This window comes from Homo sapiens, chromosome 2 (assembly GCF_000001405.40).
Source record: "Homo sapiens chromosome 2, GRCh38.p14 Primary Assembly".
Taxonomy (NCBI): Eukaryota; Metazoa; Chordata; class Mammalia; order Primates; family Hominidae; genus Homo; species Homo sapiens.
This window is the reverse complement of record NC_000002.12, coordinates 127,666,355-127,682,085: the sequence shown is the minus strand read 5'-3', so window position 1 is coordinate 127,682,085 and position 15,731 is coordinate 127,666,355. Positions and strand designations below refer to the sequence as shown.

The window sequence follows — 15,731 nt, the reverse complement described above, 5'->3', positions numbered from 1 at the left end:
ACCACAAAATGATCACAATCAGGCAAAAAATAAATGTACATGGTTAAAAGTGAACAAAGTGTTGCAGTACCCATCTTCTGGAGGTGATTTTTCTTCTTTCTACTTCTGGGCATTTCTAATACAATGAAAGTTTTATAGCAGAAAATTATAAAATAATTCATTTATGTTATTTTAATATAAATAGTCCTGAGATATTCCTCTTTTCAGGGAAAATAGTACTTGGCAAGACAGCATCCTAGTAGCTGTTCTTGGGTTGTTCACGTAATTAGTTGCCAGGATTCTTTTCACTGTGGGGCTTCTTTTGCAGTCTGTCCGTGGATACTGTGAACATCAGGCTACTCGGCCGGGCTCCTGCGCTCAGGGCTTCGAGAAATGCTCATTTTGGGGCTGCCCCTCTGCCGGCCTCTCTGGATTCAGAGGGCAGCCGCTGCTCCTTTTGTTTTGTGGGCCTGGCTCTGGGCCCGGAGCAGCACCTCCCTGGGGAGGCCGCCTTTCCTTCCGCGGCTTCTTCCGTCTCCTCCTGACCCCAAGGTGCCTCCGGCCTCTGCCTCCAGCTAAGGACCTCTGGCCAAGCCTCCTGCCCAGGGAGAGGTGAAGCTGCCGTGCCTGGGTGCCCCGTGGTGGCCGGACACTCCTGGCGGCTGCTCAGTCTTGCACGTGGCTGTGCCAAGCGGGCCAGGCAGCTGCTATTTCCCTCAGAGAAGTTGCTGGCGGCGCTCAGGGAAGGAAGCACCCGAGGAGGCGGAGCGGCATCTCAGCCACAGAGGTAAAGACTCTGTGATGGGCACAGGGCCCCGGGAGGTCCTTTCCACCTGCCAATCGCTGCGCTGCCCCTGCAATTCCCTGTACTCTGAGTGGTTGTGCTAATGTTGCTCATTTGGGGTCAAGGAACAGCCCTGGAGGGGCTGCCCTCCGTCAGGCGGCATGGGGACGGTGAAGGTTCAGCCCACTGTGGCCGCACGCGGGGCCTTCTGCGGGCGAGGCCACGTTTGGATAGGCTGGGCTTGGGATGGGCAGCTGCTCTTTCCCCTGGACAGAGTGGAACAAGCTCCAGTGGGAAGGTCACAATGGGAAAAAAGAAGCAAAGTGACCCTCAGTATGTGGAAGAGATACTCTCAGAGGCAGGGAGAGGCAGGTGCCCCGCAGGTGAGGAGCTCTGCGCCCAGGAGGCTTCTTGCTGGATACTCGACGGCATGATGTGTTGAGGTGTTAAAATGTGGCATTCCTGGATATGTGGTGGGGGCTGCCCTCGGGTAGCCAAACCCATGAGATGAATGGAGTCTGTCCCAGAGCAAAGGCGAGAGTGAGATGGCCTTTTCCTCCCGAACTCCAAGGCCAGGTCATCTTTGGAAAATTGTGAAGCTCGATGGTCCACCTCTACTCCTGAGTAAATCAGACTTTCAAGAAGGGCACTGTGTTCCCCTCAGACTGAAAAGAATCCCTGGGTCTCTTGTGTGTTCTGCAAATGTTGAGAGAATTGTGGATCGACATTCCGCCAGCTTCTCTCACTGAGCTGCCGTGTGGCACAGGGAGAAGTAAGGCCATTTTGTGCTGGTCAGAGGGTGTGTCTAATGACAGTTCTGAGGGCAGGCTCATATTTTTATTTTTATTTATTTATTATGATTATTTTTAAAAGACAGGAGATTGCTCTGCTGCCCAGGCTAGAGTGCAGTGACACAATCATAGCTCACTGTAACCTCGAAATCCTGGGCTCAAGCGATCCTCCCACCTCAGCCTCATGAAGAGCTAGGCCCACAGGCATGCACCATCGTGCCCAGCTGGTTTTATGCTCCTAGTTTTAAAAAGAGACATTTACTTTTCAATGTGTTGTGAAACCTGTGGGTGCCAGGGGCGGTGTCCTGCTCACTATTCTTCCTTTGGCCCAGGGAGCCGCCCGGGAGGGCTCCGGCTGTGCAGGTGCTTCCCCGCTCCCCCCCGGGGGGTTCTCACAGCCACTTCCCAAGTTAACTTTGGTCTCGCAGGAGGCGGCTGAAGGCTTTGAACTTTGTGTTGATATTCGGCAGGTCTCTGTGTTTTGCCAGTTCCCAGTGCCCTGAAAGGGACAGGCCTTAACCAGATTTGGGGCACAGGCCTTGTAGAGTGGCCGTCTGGGTGGCCTCACATCACACGGGGCCATTCTTGGAACAGGCAGGATGAACAGCCTACCTGTTGGGAAGGCATGCTAGCTCCTGCCCCAGGACCTGGGCTGTGGCAGGAGACCCTGAGGCCTCCTGAGAGCTGCAAGGCCTTCTCCATTCCCTGTGGTCACATGGGGACAGGGCTGTGGCTCTGGATATTGGCGGAGGCTCATTGAGGCACTTTGAGACCCCGGGTTCTCCTCAGCCTCCTACTGCTGATTAGCCACGCTGACCAAGCCCAGCCCCTCTCTTGGCCCTGGGTCCCAGCTCCCACGAGCGTTGGGCCCTGGGCTGTCTCAGGTAGCTGTCCCCTGGAGTAGGGAAGGGAGAAGGTGGGGGGTGGAGAAACTCGGGTACCTGCCCAGCAAAGGGGGTGCCCACCTGCCCTGAACCCCAGAGGGCAGAAGGCTCGTGCCCAGGGAGATGCTGCACCTCCTTCACCTTCTAGGACAGCTGTCATGTCACTCTGTGGCCCAGCCTCAGCCTCAGAGCCCCACTGTCCCCCAGCGAAGACTAAGTGTGTGATTCAAGCCACTCTCTGAATGTCCCTCAGTGATGCCATCCCATAAGACCTGGGAATGGACACTGCATTCTCACCTTCCCTCCCCTTCCCCTCCCCACTTCCAACTGCCGTCTCTTCTCTGCCCCCCCTTTCAGAGCATTCTCCCCCCAGGGGCACTGTGTGCAGCACTCTGGGGAGCACCATCTACACAGACCCCAGGGAGGGGTGCTCCTGGGGGAGGCATTGCAGGGGCCCTGCCTGCCCCTCTGCAGCTGGACTCAGGCCCCTCACTCCAAGGGACCGGCTCTTGACCCAAACCCAGATGCTTCCCTGGCCTCTGCACGCAGCAGTGTGCACACGGGGCAGTGGCGCACCTCCTCCCTGGAGCTCTTTCCCTCCGGGCTTCTGTGGCACCTCACACTCTCCTGCTCTCCCCCTCACTTTCTGCCAGTCCCACCTCTTACCCTTGGAGGGCTCCTGACTGGTACAGACACCCCAGGGTCTCCATGGAGCCCTAGAGTTGAAATTCCATTTGTACCAAGCCTTCTGCATCTACGCTGGAGAATGGACCTCTCTTCCCTGCTCCAGGTTCACAGTGCCCCGCCCACCATCTCCCCTGGGATGCCTGGGGAGGGCCCAATGCAACGTCACCCCTCGCTAACCTGCCCAGACTGTCCCACTGCCACCAATATCTAGGAAAGCAAGGCCACCTGCAAGTCCTCTTGACTCCCACGGCTGTACATTCACACCTGCCACACACACACCTGCCCCACAACCACCACACCTGTGCTGACCACGCCCACGCCGGCCACACACACACATCCAGATTCCCAGCAAATCCTGTTGGTTGCAAAATAGATCCTGTGTTTGATGCCTTCTCAATGTCCCTACTGTCGCACGGCCCAAGGCACCAGTCCCTCCTGGACGCTCACCATAGCCTCTAATCAGACTGTCCCTGAGACCACTCTGTCCCTCACACAGTGGCCACACAGCAGCTAGGGACACTTCCCCCTTTTGCTATGAAAAAGTTCAAGCACTCATCAAAGTTGAAAACCCAGATACCCACCACCTAGATTCTCCCATTAATATCGTCGTAGACTCACGTTACCACCTCTCTGTCCTTCCCTTTACCCATCTCCCCATCTTGAGTTCATTTTTTAGAGGCAGAGTCATGCTATGTTGCCCAAGCTGGTCTTGAATTCCTGGCCTCAAGTGATCCTCCCTCCTCAGCCTCCCCGTAGCTAAGGACTAGCTGGGACTACGGGGATCCACCACATCGGCTCATCTTGATTTAAACAATGTATTTCAAAGTAAGTTGCAGACATCAGTACCTTTCTACCTAAACACTTCAGCATTGTATGTCATTAACTGGAGTTCAGTATCGTTTACGGTATTTTTCTTTTGAGGTAAAATGTACATATAATGAAATGTGCAAATCCTGGCCATATATTCCATGAGTTTTAACAAAGGCATATACACTTGTGTGACCCAAACTCCTACTAAAACATTGCCTGTTACCCCAGAAACTCCCTCACATTCCTTCCTAGTCAACCCCTGTCCTGCCACCTCAGGGCAGTCCGGGGTGTAATAGACCAGCCTGAGGCAGCCACCGTTCTGATTTTTTCTACCACAGACAAATGTTGCCTATTCTAGAACTTGATATAGATGGAAAAGGTGCTCTTTTTTCATTCAGTCAGTATTTCTGAGATTCACCCCTGCTGATGCTAGAGTGTTGTGTCTGTCTTTGCTTAGAACTCTCCATCTAAGGGTGGAATCCTACTTCTGCTGTGGCCCTGCTGCTCTGCCCTGGGCCCTCTCCTTTATTTCCCGTGCCCCTCCACCTGCCACCTCCCCTTTTTCCAGACCCACTGGTCTTCTTTCTGACCTTGCGTACCCCAAGCTCATGTCACCTCAGGGCTGTTGCACTTGCTGTTCTGCCGGAATGCTTTTCCTGCAGATGGCTGAGGGCTGGCTCTTTCCCTTATTCTGGTTTAGCTTGAATGTCACCTGCTCAGAAACTTTCCCTCACCCTTCACTCTAAAGCAGCCACCACCATTGTCCTTTTCTTTGCAGCACTTACCCTTGTCTAAAATCTAGTTTGCGTATTTATTTATTTGTTTATTGCCCATCCTCCACCTCCTGCTAAACTCCATGAGAGCCTGGTCCATGGCTTCTTTCTCCCCCTAGTACTTCCAGTGCCCATGCGGTATAAATACTCTTGAAGGAACAAGTGGATAAGTGTGTGAATGTGTGATTGCCAGCTCTTTCCTGCAACTCTGCCCTCTTGGCTGAACTGTGGGAGGCTGGCCCTGGCTCCTTGAAGCCTCTGCATCTCCAGCAGGGCTAAGCCATGCCCACAACCCCTACCAGCTGTTACTGAGCTTGCCCTGGCCCAGGGATGAGGCACACTGGGAGCTGCATAGGGTCCTGGTTTGGCCACATACAGATCCGTGTGTGCTCAGCTATCATATGCAGGGAGGCTTTTGGGCTAAAAGGCAGGAATGTGGTCTCCTCTGTGGAGAGCATGGGCCTCTGGTGTAATGCTTTCAACTTTTCATCCTCTTTGGTTCCCACAAGACCCTGATATTCAATTAACCGTCCAGCAGTGGATTTCTGGTGCACGGCCCCAGCATGCCTACACCTCTGTGTCAGTAATGGTGGAAAGCCTTTCTCCCTGTATGAGCAGGTGAGCCAAGAAATTATCCATACTTAAGCTTAATCAACCATCAAATTACAGTTAAGCCGAATCAGCTGAGACACGCTCGCAACAAGAAGTAATAACTCGAGACAGTCGGATCACCTGAGGCCAGGAGTTTGCAACCAGCCTGACCAACATGGTGAAACCCATCTCTATCAAAAATACAAAATTAGCTGGGTGTGGTGGCATATGCTTGTAATCCCAGCTACTTGGGAGGCTGAGGCAGGAGAATCGCTTGAACCTGGGAGGCGGAGGTTGCAGTGAGCGGAGATTGCACCATTGCACTCCAGCCTGGGCAATAAGAGCGAAACTCCGTCTCAAAAAAAAAAAAAAAAAAAAAGTAACAACTGCAAAGGCACTCCACAATACCAGCCACTTAGGAACAGGTGTCTTTTCCCAGCTTATTTCTGCAGGTGGAACTGCAGGATACTATCAACTCATCTTTCTGAACGGCACCAGTTTATTTGTGGGTTGCTAATTCACACCGTCATTTCTAGATCATCTTTCTCTGCTGCCAAGACCGGAGTAGCACCACATTTACACATCAGGCCGCCCAGCTCCCAAACCTCAGTGTGACATCTGGGCTGCTTCCAAAGATGAGCTGCACGCCACTGTCCAGCTGGAAATATCTGCCTTTAGGCAGGGCGGGGGTTTTTTGTTTTGTTTGTTTGAAAATTTCCTCCGAAGAGATTCCCTAAATAGTTTATATTACCCCTCCATCTTAACGCCTCTAATGGTAGCTTCTCAGCGCTTCATTATACAGAGGCGTGCCTGGTTCCCCTGGAAACCTGGGAGCTGGGCATTTGGTTTTGTCGTTTAAGAAATATCTTTCGCCAAGTTAGGGCGATGGCCCGCAACGGGGGATGAAATCGGAATTTCCCGGGGAAAGCAGCTTTGCGACTGAAGAGGGACGCCTCTCGGCTTTAGCCTCCCTGGGGGCGGGACTGCGTGGACTCGGCGGTCCCGGGTGCCTCGGGAGGGAGTCAGTGCCCAGATCCGCGGTGGGAACTCCGGGCTAGGAAAGCCCGGGAGGGAGGTGGTCTCAGCATCGCCCCCACGCCTACCATCTCCTGCACGCGTTTGCGGTTGGGGCGGCCCAGGGACTGCAGAGGGGGCGCCGGGCGGGGCGTCCCGGCGGGGCTGTGGGGGTGGGGGTGCTTGTTCGCGTTTATTATAACTTTACTCCCTTTAAAAGGAAAGCTATGCCCGGAATCCAGGAGGTGGCGAGCAGAGCCCGGGTTGGGAAGGACTTGACCCGCGCCCGCCGCTGGCCGCGCTCCGTGTCCCTGGAGCTGGGGCTGTGCGGGAGCGGGGCCCACCCTCTACCTTTACCCCTACTTTTACCCCCACTCCCACCCCCGCCTCACTCTCACCCCTCCAACCCCACCGTCAGCCCCACCTTTAACCCCCACCCCTCCAACCCTACCCGCCGCCACCCCCACCTGCCACCCCCACCCCCACCTATACTCCCGCAACCTCCCACCGTCACCTCCCCAACACCCCCACCACCCTCAGCCTTGACCTCCCCATCCCACCCCGCCCCGCGGGCCCCACCCTGCCACCCCCGCCCACCCCTCTCGCGGGCGGAGCGGCTCTTGGCCTTTTTTGGGCGTCTCCCTGCTCCGCGGCCCGGGCTGGCGGGCGGGCGCTCGGCTGGCGGCTGCAGCAGCAGAGGGAGACCCGCGGCAACCCCGGCAACCCAGGGCTCGGCGTCGCTGCCACCATGACGGGAAGGTAACGGCCCCCACCCACGCCCCCGGGCCGGGGAGGCGGGACTGCGGGACCCCTGGCCGAGGCGCAGCTCGCCCTCGTACAGCCCCGCGGCGCCACGATCCCCGCTCCGCCCTGGCGCGTCGGATTCTCGCAGCTGCCGGGGCGGCAGCGCCCGTCGGGGCAGGGGTCCCCCAGCCCCCGCGCCTCTTCCTCTGGGCGAGCGCCTGCAGCGGAAGGTGGAGCTCCTGCCCACCCGCCCGCTGCAAGATGGGACAGCCGTCTGCTCACAACCGACGCCCAGGGCTGCGGGAGGGGGTCTTGTCCAAGGTCAGACACCAACCACGGGCAAAAGGTTCAAAGGTTGCGTGCCTCCCCCAACTTCCCCGAGCCCGCGCTGTGCGATCCCCGATCCCGGTGAGTGTCATCTCTGGAGCCTTCCGTTTCCTCCTCTGTAAACCTGGGGTGGTAAAAATGTTAAAAATGTTGAAGGGTATGTTGGAACTTGGCCAGAGCTGCGCCCAAGCACCAGCTGTGCAGGGGTTGGTTGGGGACAGGGCGCTCCCCTGGGCCTGGCCCACCCTCTGCTCTCAGGCCCCTCGTTGCCATTTCACAGATGAGGTCACCAGAGGCCACAGAGGCTGAGCCACTCAGGAGGCCAGTCACAGGTCCACCAGTGTCCGGCCAGTGTTTGTCCCTGCAGCCCTTTCTGGAACCTAGCTGGGTACAAGTGCATGACTCAGGACTGGGTGGGAGGGGGCTGTCCCTGAGGCCCTGGTCTCCCCCAGCCAAGTCCTGGCAGGGGGATGCTGTTCTTCAGGATCCCATGACCTGGGGCTCTTGGGGAGCCCCAGCCCGGAGAGTGACCTGTGGCTTTGCTGGGGAAAGGGGCTTGGAGGGTACAGGGCAGTGTCCAGGATTGCAGTCTCAAATCCGAGGCCCACAGGGGAGCTGCCTCTGTGATCGCCATTAAGGCTGTGGCCTGGGGTCTCAGGGCAGCCCAGGAACCAAAAATAGCCTGTAACTTGTCACTTTGTAAGTCCTGCCCTCCAGACACACTTCCCTTTCTTCTCCCCAAGCCTCTCTTCCCAGTTAGCTCCCCTGACTTGGAGTCACCTCTAAGCCTTGGCCCAGGCCCCTCTGCAGTGAGATGGAGGGACTCATCCCCCGGAGAGTGGCATCTGCAGGCCCACTGGCTGCCTGTGGTCACCCCCTAGGGTTCTAGCGGGGCTGCCTCCCATTTTCCTCAGAGCATCCCTGCCAGCTGGCTGGTTCTCACTCTCCTGTTTTCTAGGAAAAGAAAGTGGGGAGAGACAGGAACAGGGTCCGGAGCAGCCCCAGCAGCAGCATTGAGGTGGAGGTGGGTGAGAGGCGGTTCCTTCAGGCACAGGAGGGATGTCGAGGAGAACAGAGCCGTGAAGGGTGCGGGGCTGGAATGGGAGGCCCCGAGGTGCCACTGCTCCCTGGCAAGGGTCCTCTTGCCCCTGAGTCCCTTGGGCCTTTCCCTGGAGACGGAGGCCGTCAGGTGAGCCCGGCCGGAACCGCTGGGAAGGCAGGTGGTGGCGAGCAGGGGTCAGCCTTCCCTTGCTGCTGTGGGCTCCAAGGGCCTGAGAAACTCTTACCCTCAAATGACACAGGGATGACAGTCAGCCTTTGGCAGGCACTGTGTAGGGCGTTCCTCGTCCAGGCAATACTACTCGTCTTAGAGAATAAGGAGAAACCTGGAAACATAAAAGATAACAGAAACATAAAGAGAAGGAAACTGCCACAGTTCCACTCCCAAGAGCCTCCCTTTATGCAGTTCGGTGGCTCCCCGCAGTCCTTTCTCCTGGAGTTTGTTTGACGCAGCTGTGAGCGATCTGAGTGTAATGCACCCGCTCCTTCAAAGGTGACCCTGCTGCCCGCAGTGCTGGTGCCCCACTGGCTTCCCTGCCTTCCATACACAGGGATTGGGCCGGGCCAGTCTGTGAGGAACAGACATCCAACCCGGCCTTCGGAGTGGGCGAGAGTTTTCCTGTCCCAGAAGCAGTGGAGTTTCATTTCCACCGTTTCATGCTGGGTGCCCTTCCCCACGTCCACTGTTCCCATGTGATCCCGGGCAGCTCCTCGTGCCTGGATCCTGGTTCTCTCGGGATCCCCCATGCTGCCCAGAGCCAGGCTGCTTTTGGGAAACACCCTCTCTGCTCGCATACCTTCAGGGCTTCTCCCTGCCAGCTCTCCCTAGGACCTCACCAGGCAAGAGCAGAGGGAGGGCTGTGGGGAGCCACCAAAGTGACCTGGAGTGGCATGTGTGGCCATGCTGTCTGCAGATGAACCCATGGGTGCTGTGTGGAGAAAGGGCTGCTGGGAAGGAGATGGGGAAGGAGACAGAAGGCAGCCACTAGGGAGGCCTCTCCTGGGTGGCTGAGCGGGTGGAGGAGAGGAGGCTGACTCAGGGTTCTGGGAGGTGGAGTGGACAGGACCCAACTGACTGGCTGTGAGGTGGGCCACAGAGGGTGGGGCTCGGGAGGATGCCCCTCCTGTGATGACAGGTGGGGGTGGATGGCATGCTTGGTGTGGTTGTGGAGTGCTTGAAGAGCTGTGGCAAGTCTGAGGGGGAGCCGTGGGAGGCACCTGGGCATGGAGGGGCTGAAGCCCAGGAGTAGCCAGCTGGGCAGGGAGTGAAGGCAGCCCAGAGCATGGGGTGGCACGCCGTGGGAAGAGAGGGGGCTCGGCCTCAGCAGCAACTCAGGGACTTTGCAACTTACAACCACAAGATCTTTGACTATCACAGCTGAAGGGACCTCTGGCATCACCATTGTTCTACAGGGAGGATATTAAGGCCACCTACCTAGGGACCCAGCTGTCCCTGGCATTCCTGGAAATGGAGCCTGGGATGTTGACACCCACGGCCACGTGAGCTCAGTGGCTTGGCTGCATAAAGTGGAGTCCCACCCATGGTGTGACCGTCATGTGTGTCACATGTGAGGCTGTCGTATGCCTGATTGTGTGCTGAGCCCATGCTTAGTACAGCGCAGAGCAGGCTGCTAGATCCCTGCCCTCATATCCACCAATCTTGCCCCTCCTCCGGGTGAGGAGTGTGCCCGGTGGTCCCCTAGGCAGAAGGTGTCGGCCAAGGGGCAGCTGACTGCAGCTAGAGCCCTCAGCACAGCACACGAGGCTGCAGTGGCGTCAGGGGCTTAAGCAAACTGTAAAGTGGGTAACAAGTGATGTGGCTTGTGATGTGGCACCACTGAGCCCTGAGCCCCAGACTGGGCCAGGTGGCACTGCCATGGCCCCTCACCTCCTTCCTTTTTCTTCTACTTCTGGTGCTGACTGGCCCCTTCTAGCCGGCCAGTGGCATAATAGGGATGGAGGGACTGATCTGCAGGGTGTCCAGTCCCGTGGTGTGATACCCCCACCTGGGCTCATTTCAAGCCACCAACATGGCATTAACGCTTTACGGAATTCCTGAATAGTTAACAGTCAGCACTTGTGAACTGGCAAGGGACAGCCCAGGGAGCCACTGGGGAGAGGAGCCCGGGCTTTCTATCCACAGCGGGTTATCCTTCTTCTGTCTGTCCCTATCTGTGCTGTGCCGCATGCAGGCTCTTTTTTTTTTTTTTGAGATGGAGTCTCGCTCTGTCACCCAAGCTGGAGTGCAGTGGCGTGATCTCAGCTCACTGCAACCTCTGCCTCCCAGGTTCAAGCAATTCTCTTGCCTCAGCCTCCCAAGTAGCTGGGACTACAGGTGCATACCACCACAACCGGCTAATTTTTTTTGTATTTTTATTGGAGATGGGGTTTTACCGTGTTGGCCATGGTGGTCTTGATCTTCTGACCTCTTGATCCACCCACCTTGGCCTCCCAAAGTGCTGTGATTACAGGCGTGAACAACCGTGCCCAGCCTGCATGCAGGCTTAACCATCCCTTAGGTCTTCACTTCCAGGTGGGAAAGGGGCCAAGGGAGGCACTGTCACTGTCTTGCTTGTTCTGTTGAGGTGTAGCGTGTACATTTCTGAAGGTGAATATTTACTTAGATGACTTAGCAGGATGACCACCCTAGTGAGATACCTCCATGAGTGAATGCATATGTCTTGCTGAGATGAGGTGACTGAATACACATATGAACATAAAACCTACTGTGTCCTCACCCACGTCCTTGGAGGAATACACGGGAAACTCATGGAGTTGTCTTCAGCCTCCCAGCGAGGAGTCTGGTGGGGGAGCTGGCTCTGGAGGACAGCCTGTTTGTGGCATCTCTGCCTCTGTCCGTCTCTGCCTCTGCCCACTGGGCTGAGGGCACGTGCCCCAGGGCCTTGGGGAGGCAGCCCTGCCTCATAGCTTGGGGCCTCAGTTCCAGCCTCTAAGAAGCCATGTAGTTGCATTCTTCATTACTCACGTGTTTTTTAAAATCTGAGACATAGTTCACATATTATTAAATTCACCACTTTAGATTGTAAAATTCAGTGGTTTTTCGTGCATTCACAAGGCTGTGCAACCATCACCATTAATTCCAGAACATTTTAATCATTCCTAAAAGAAACCTTGTACTCATTTGCAGACAGTCCTCATTTCCCCCTCCTCCCAGCCCTGGCCACCAGTAACCTGCCTTCTGTCTCTACAGATTTGTCTGTTCTGGACATTTCACATAAATGGAGCCATATATTATATAGCCTTTTGTGCCTGGCTTCTTTCATTTATTAACAACATATTTCCAAGATTCATCCGTATATTGTAGCATGAATCAGTACTTCATTCCTTTTTCTGGGTGAATAATATTCCATTGTGCCATAGTTTGTTTCTTCCTTCATCCGTGGTAGACATTTGCATTGTTTCCACTTTTTGGCTACCGTGAATAATACTGCTATGAACATTCCCATACAAGTTTTGGTGTGAACATACATTTTCTCCTTGAATATATACCTAGGACTGGAATTGCTGGCATATGGTAACTCTATGTTAAACTTTTTGAGGAATTATCAAGCTGTTTTCCAAGTAATTGAACAATTTTACATTTATTAAATTTTACACCAGGAATGTATGAAGGTTCCAATTTCCCGACATCCTTGCTGATGCTTGTTATTGTTGTCCGGTTTAGTAGGTGTGAAGTGGTGTCATATTGTGGTTTTGATTTCCATTTCCCTAATGACTGATAATGTTGAGCATCTTTTCATGTATCTGTTGGCCACTTGTAAATCCTCTTTGGAAAAATGTCCATTCAAACTCTTTGCCCATTTTTTAAATCGGGTTGTCTTTTTATTGTTGAATTGTAAGAGTTCCTTATTTATTTGAATACTAGACACTTCTCAGACATATGATTTGCAAATTTTTTTTTTTTAAGATGGAGTCTCACTGTGTCGCCCAGGCTGGAGTGCAGTAGTGCAATCTCAGCTCACTGCAACCTCCGCCTCCTGGGTTCAAGCGATTCTTCTGCCTCAGCCCCTCCAGTAGCTGGGACTACAGGCGTGTGCCACCATGCCTGGCTATTTTTTTTTTGTATTTTTAGTAGAGATGGGGTTTCACCATGTTGGCCAGGCTGGTCTCAAACTCCTGACCTCAGGTGATCCTCCCGCTTCAGCCTCCCAAAGTGCTGGGATTACAGGCACGAGCCACCGTGCCCAGCCGATTTACAAATATTTTTTCCTTTTCTGTGGATCATCTTTTCACTTTCTTGATTGTGTCGTTTGATACACACGTTTTAACTTTTAATGAAATCCAATTTATTTCCTTATTCTTTAGTTGCTTGAGTTTTTTTTGTCATGTTTAGGAAACTATTGCCTAATCCTGGCTCATGAAATGAAAACATCTGTTTTCTTCTAGGAGTTTTATACTGTTAGCATGTAGCTATCCAGTTGTCCTAGCATCATTTGTTGATAAGACTACTCTTCGCCCCATTGAATGGTCTTGGCACTCTTGTCAAAAATCAGTTGACCACAAATATATGGGATTATTTTTGGACTCTCGAGACAGGGTTTCACTCTTTCACCCAGGCTGGAGTGCAGTGGCAAGATCTTGGTACATTGCAGTCTCAACCTCCCTGGGCTCAGGTGATCCTCCTACCTGAGCCTCCTGAGTAGCTGGAACCACAGGTACACACCACCACACCTGGCTACTTTCTGTATTTTTTGTAGAGATGAGATTTTGCCATGTTGCCCAGGCTGGTCTTGAATTCCTGGGCTCTGCCTGCCTCAGCCTTCCAAAGTACTGGGATTATAGGCGTGAGCCACTGCACCCAGCCTATTTCTGGACTCTTGGTTCTGTTCTATGGGTGTATATGTCTATCCTTACACCACTGCCACACTTACAATTTTTTAGTAAGTAAATTGTAATTTTTAAGTAAGGTGTTTTTTTTTTTTTTTTTTTTTTTTTTTTTTTTTTTTTTTTTTTGAGACGGAGTCTCACTCTGTCACCCAGGGTGGAATGCAGTGGCCTGATCTCAGCTCACTGCAACCTCCACCTCCTGGGTTCAAGCGATTCTCCTGCCTCAGCCTTCTGAGTAGCTGGGACTACAGGTATGTGCCACCACACCTGGCTAATTTTTATATTTGTAGTAGAGATCGGGTTTTGCCATGTGGGCCAGGGTAGTCTTGAACTCCTGACCTCAAGTGATCCACCTGCCTTGGCCTCCCAAAGTGCTAGGATTACAGGTGTGAGCCACTGCACCTGGCCTCTTTGTTTTTTTTTAAAGTTGTTTTGATTATTCTGTGTCACTTGCATTTTCATATAAATTTTAGGAATGCCTTGTCTATTTCTTTAAAAAAGGCAGGAATTTTAATGGAGATTGTATTGAATCTATAGGTCAATTTGATGTAGTGTTGTATTGCCATCTTAACAATATTAAGTTTTCCAATCCATGAACATGGGATATCTTTATTTAGGTCTTCTTTAATTTATATCAATAATGTTTTATAATTTCAGTGAATAAGAAGTCTTGCATTTATTTTGTTAAACTTACTCCTAAGTATTTTATTCATTTTGATGCTGTCCCAAATGGGGTTGTTTTATTTCATATTCAGATTTCTCATTGCTAGCGATTCTGGTATATTGAGTGTATACCTTGCAGACTTACTGAACTCATTTCTTATCTGTAAATAGGGTTTCTTTTTTTGAGGAGGGATTCTTCCGAGTTTTCTATATATGAGTATGTAATATGTAAATAAAAATAGTTTTACTCTTCCTTCTCAAACTAGATGTCTTTTATTTCTTTTTCTTGTCTAACTGTCCTTGATAGAATCTGCAGTGCAATGTTGAAAACAAATAGCGGACTGGAAATCCCCCTGACCTTAGGAGGAAAGCATTCATTTTCTCATCACTAAGTATGATGTTAGCTATGGGTTTTGGGTAGATGCCCCTTATCAAATTGAAGAAGTTCCCTTCTATTCCCAGTTTGTTGGGTGCTTTTATTATGAAAAGATGTTGGATTTTGCCAAATGTGTTTTCTGCATCTGTTGAGATGGTCATAGAGTGTCCTCCCTATATTCTATTGATATGGTATATTACATTGAATTTTGGATGTGAAACCAACCCTATGTTCTTGGGATAAATCCCATTTGGTCACGGTGTATAATACTTTTTATAGAGTGTTAGATTTATTGTATTTTATCGAGGACATTTGCATCTATGTGACTTTAGCATTTTATTTTGAGATCAAGATAATATTTATAGAATGAGTTGTGAAGTATTCCCTCCTAGTCTTTCTTTTCTTTTGTTTGGAAAGATTTTGTGAAGGTTTGTTGTTTTTTGTTTTTTGTTTTTTTCTCTTTTTGAGACAAGATCTCACTCTGTCACCCAGGCTGGAGTGCAGTGGCGTGATCTCAGCTCACTGCAACCTCCGCCTTCCAGGTTCAAGTGATTCTCCTGCCTCAGCCTCCTGAGTAGCTGGGATTATAGGCATGTGCCACCACACTGGTGTTTTGTATGTTTGTTTGTAGGTTTGGTGTTAATTCTAGTTAAACCTTTGATATAATTCATCAGTGAAGCCATGTCGCTCTGGCTTTACTTTGTGACAAGTTTTTTGGTTACTGTCTCAGTCTCTTTACATGTTACTGGCCTTACTAAGTGATTTGGGTAGGCTTTGTGTCCCCAACTAAATCTCATCTTGAATTGTAATCCCTATAATCCCCACGTGTCAAGGGAGAGACCAGGTGGAGGTCATTCAATCATGGGGGTGTTTCCCCCCATGCTGTTCTTGTGATAGTGAGTTCTCACAAGATCTGCTGGTTTTATAAGGGGCTCATCCCCCTTTGCTTGGTATTTCTTCCTGCCACCTTGTGAAGAAGGTGCCTTGATTCCCCTTTGCCTTCTGCCACGACTATAAGTTTCCTGAGTCCTCCCCAGCCCTGTTCAACTGTGAGTCGATTAAACCTCTTTCCTTTATAATTTACCGAGTCTCATGAAGTTCTTAATAGCAGTATGAAAATTTAGACTGATACATTTGGATTTTCTATTTCTTCTTGAGTTCGTTTTGGTAGTGTCCTTCTAGGAATCTCTCCATTTCAGTAGGTTATTTCATTTATTGGCATACAGTTGTTCATAATATTCCATTCTGCTACCTCCTTACTGGGACCACGAGCTATTATTATTCAAGGAAGCCATGGAGTTAGGGAGCAGGAATAAGGGACTAGGATAAGTTAAAACAACACAAACCTCACTGGTTTGTGTTTGTTTGTTTGTTTACCAAGATTCATCTGTTTTTCTTGAC

The 15,731-nt window shown here is 51.8% G+C and overlaps 1 protein-coding gene across 7 annotated transcripts in view; it reads left to right on the top strand.

Moving 5' to 3' along the window:
• The window catches only part of LIMS2 (LIM zinc finger domain containing 2), a 43,361-nt gene continuing 27,929 nt past the window's right edge, over positions 300-15,731 (top strand). For 4 of the 7 annotated variants that reach the window (XM_006712627.5, XM_005263710.3, XM_047444970.1 and 1 more), the window contains exon 1: positions 6,556-7,072. In XM_006712627.5, the coding sequence (XP_006712690.1) occupies positions 7,062-7,072 (11 nt within the window). In that variant the 5' untranslated portion in view covers positions 6,556-7,061. Of the gene's footprint in view, positions 767-6,555; positions 7,073-7,519; positions 7,773-8,342; positions 8,409-15,731 lie in introns of those variants that run through there. The other 3 variants (NM_001136037.4, XM_024452983.2, NM_001161404.2) reach the window with 3 other exon arrangements.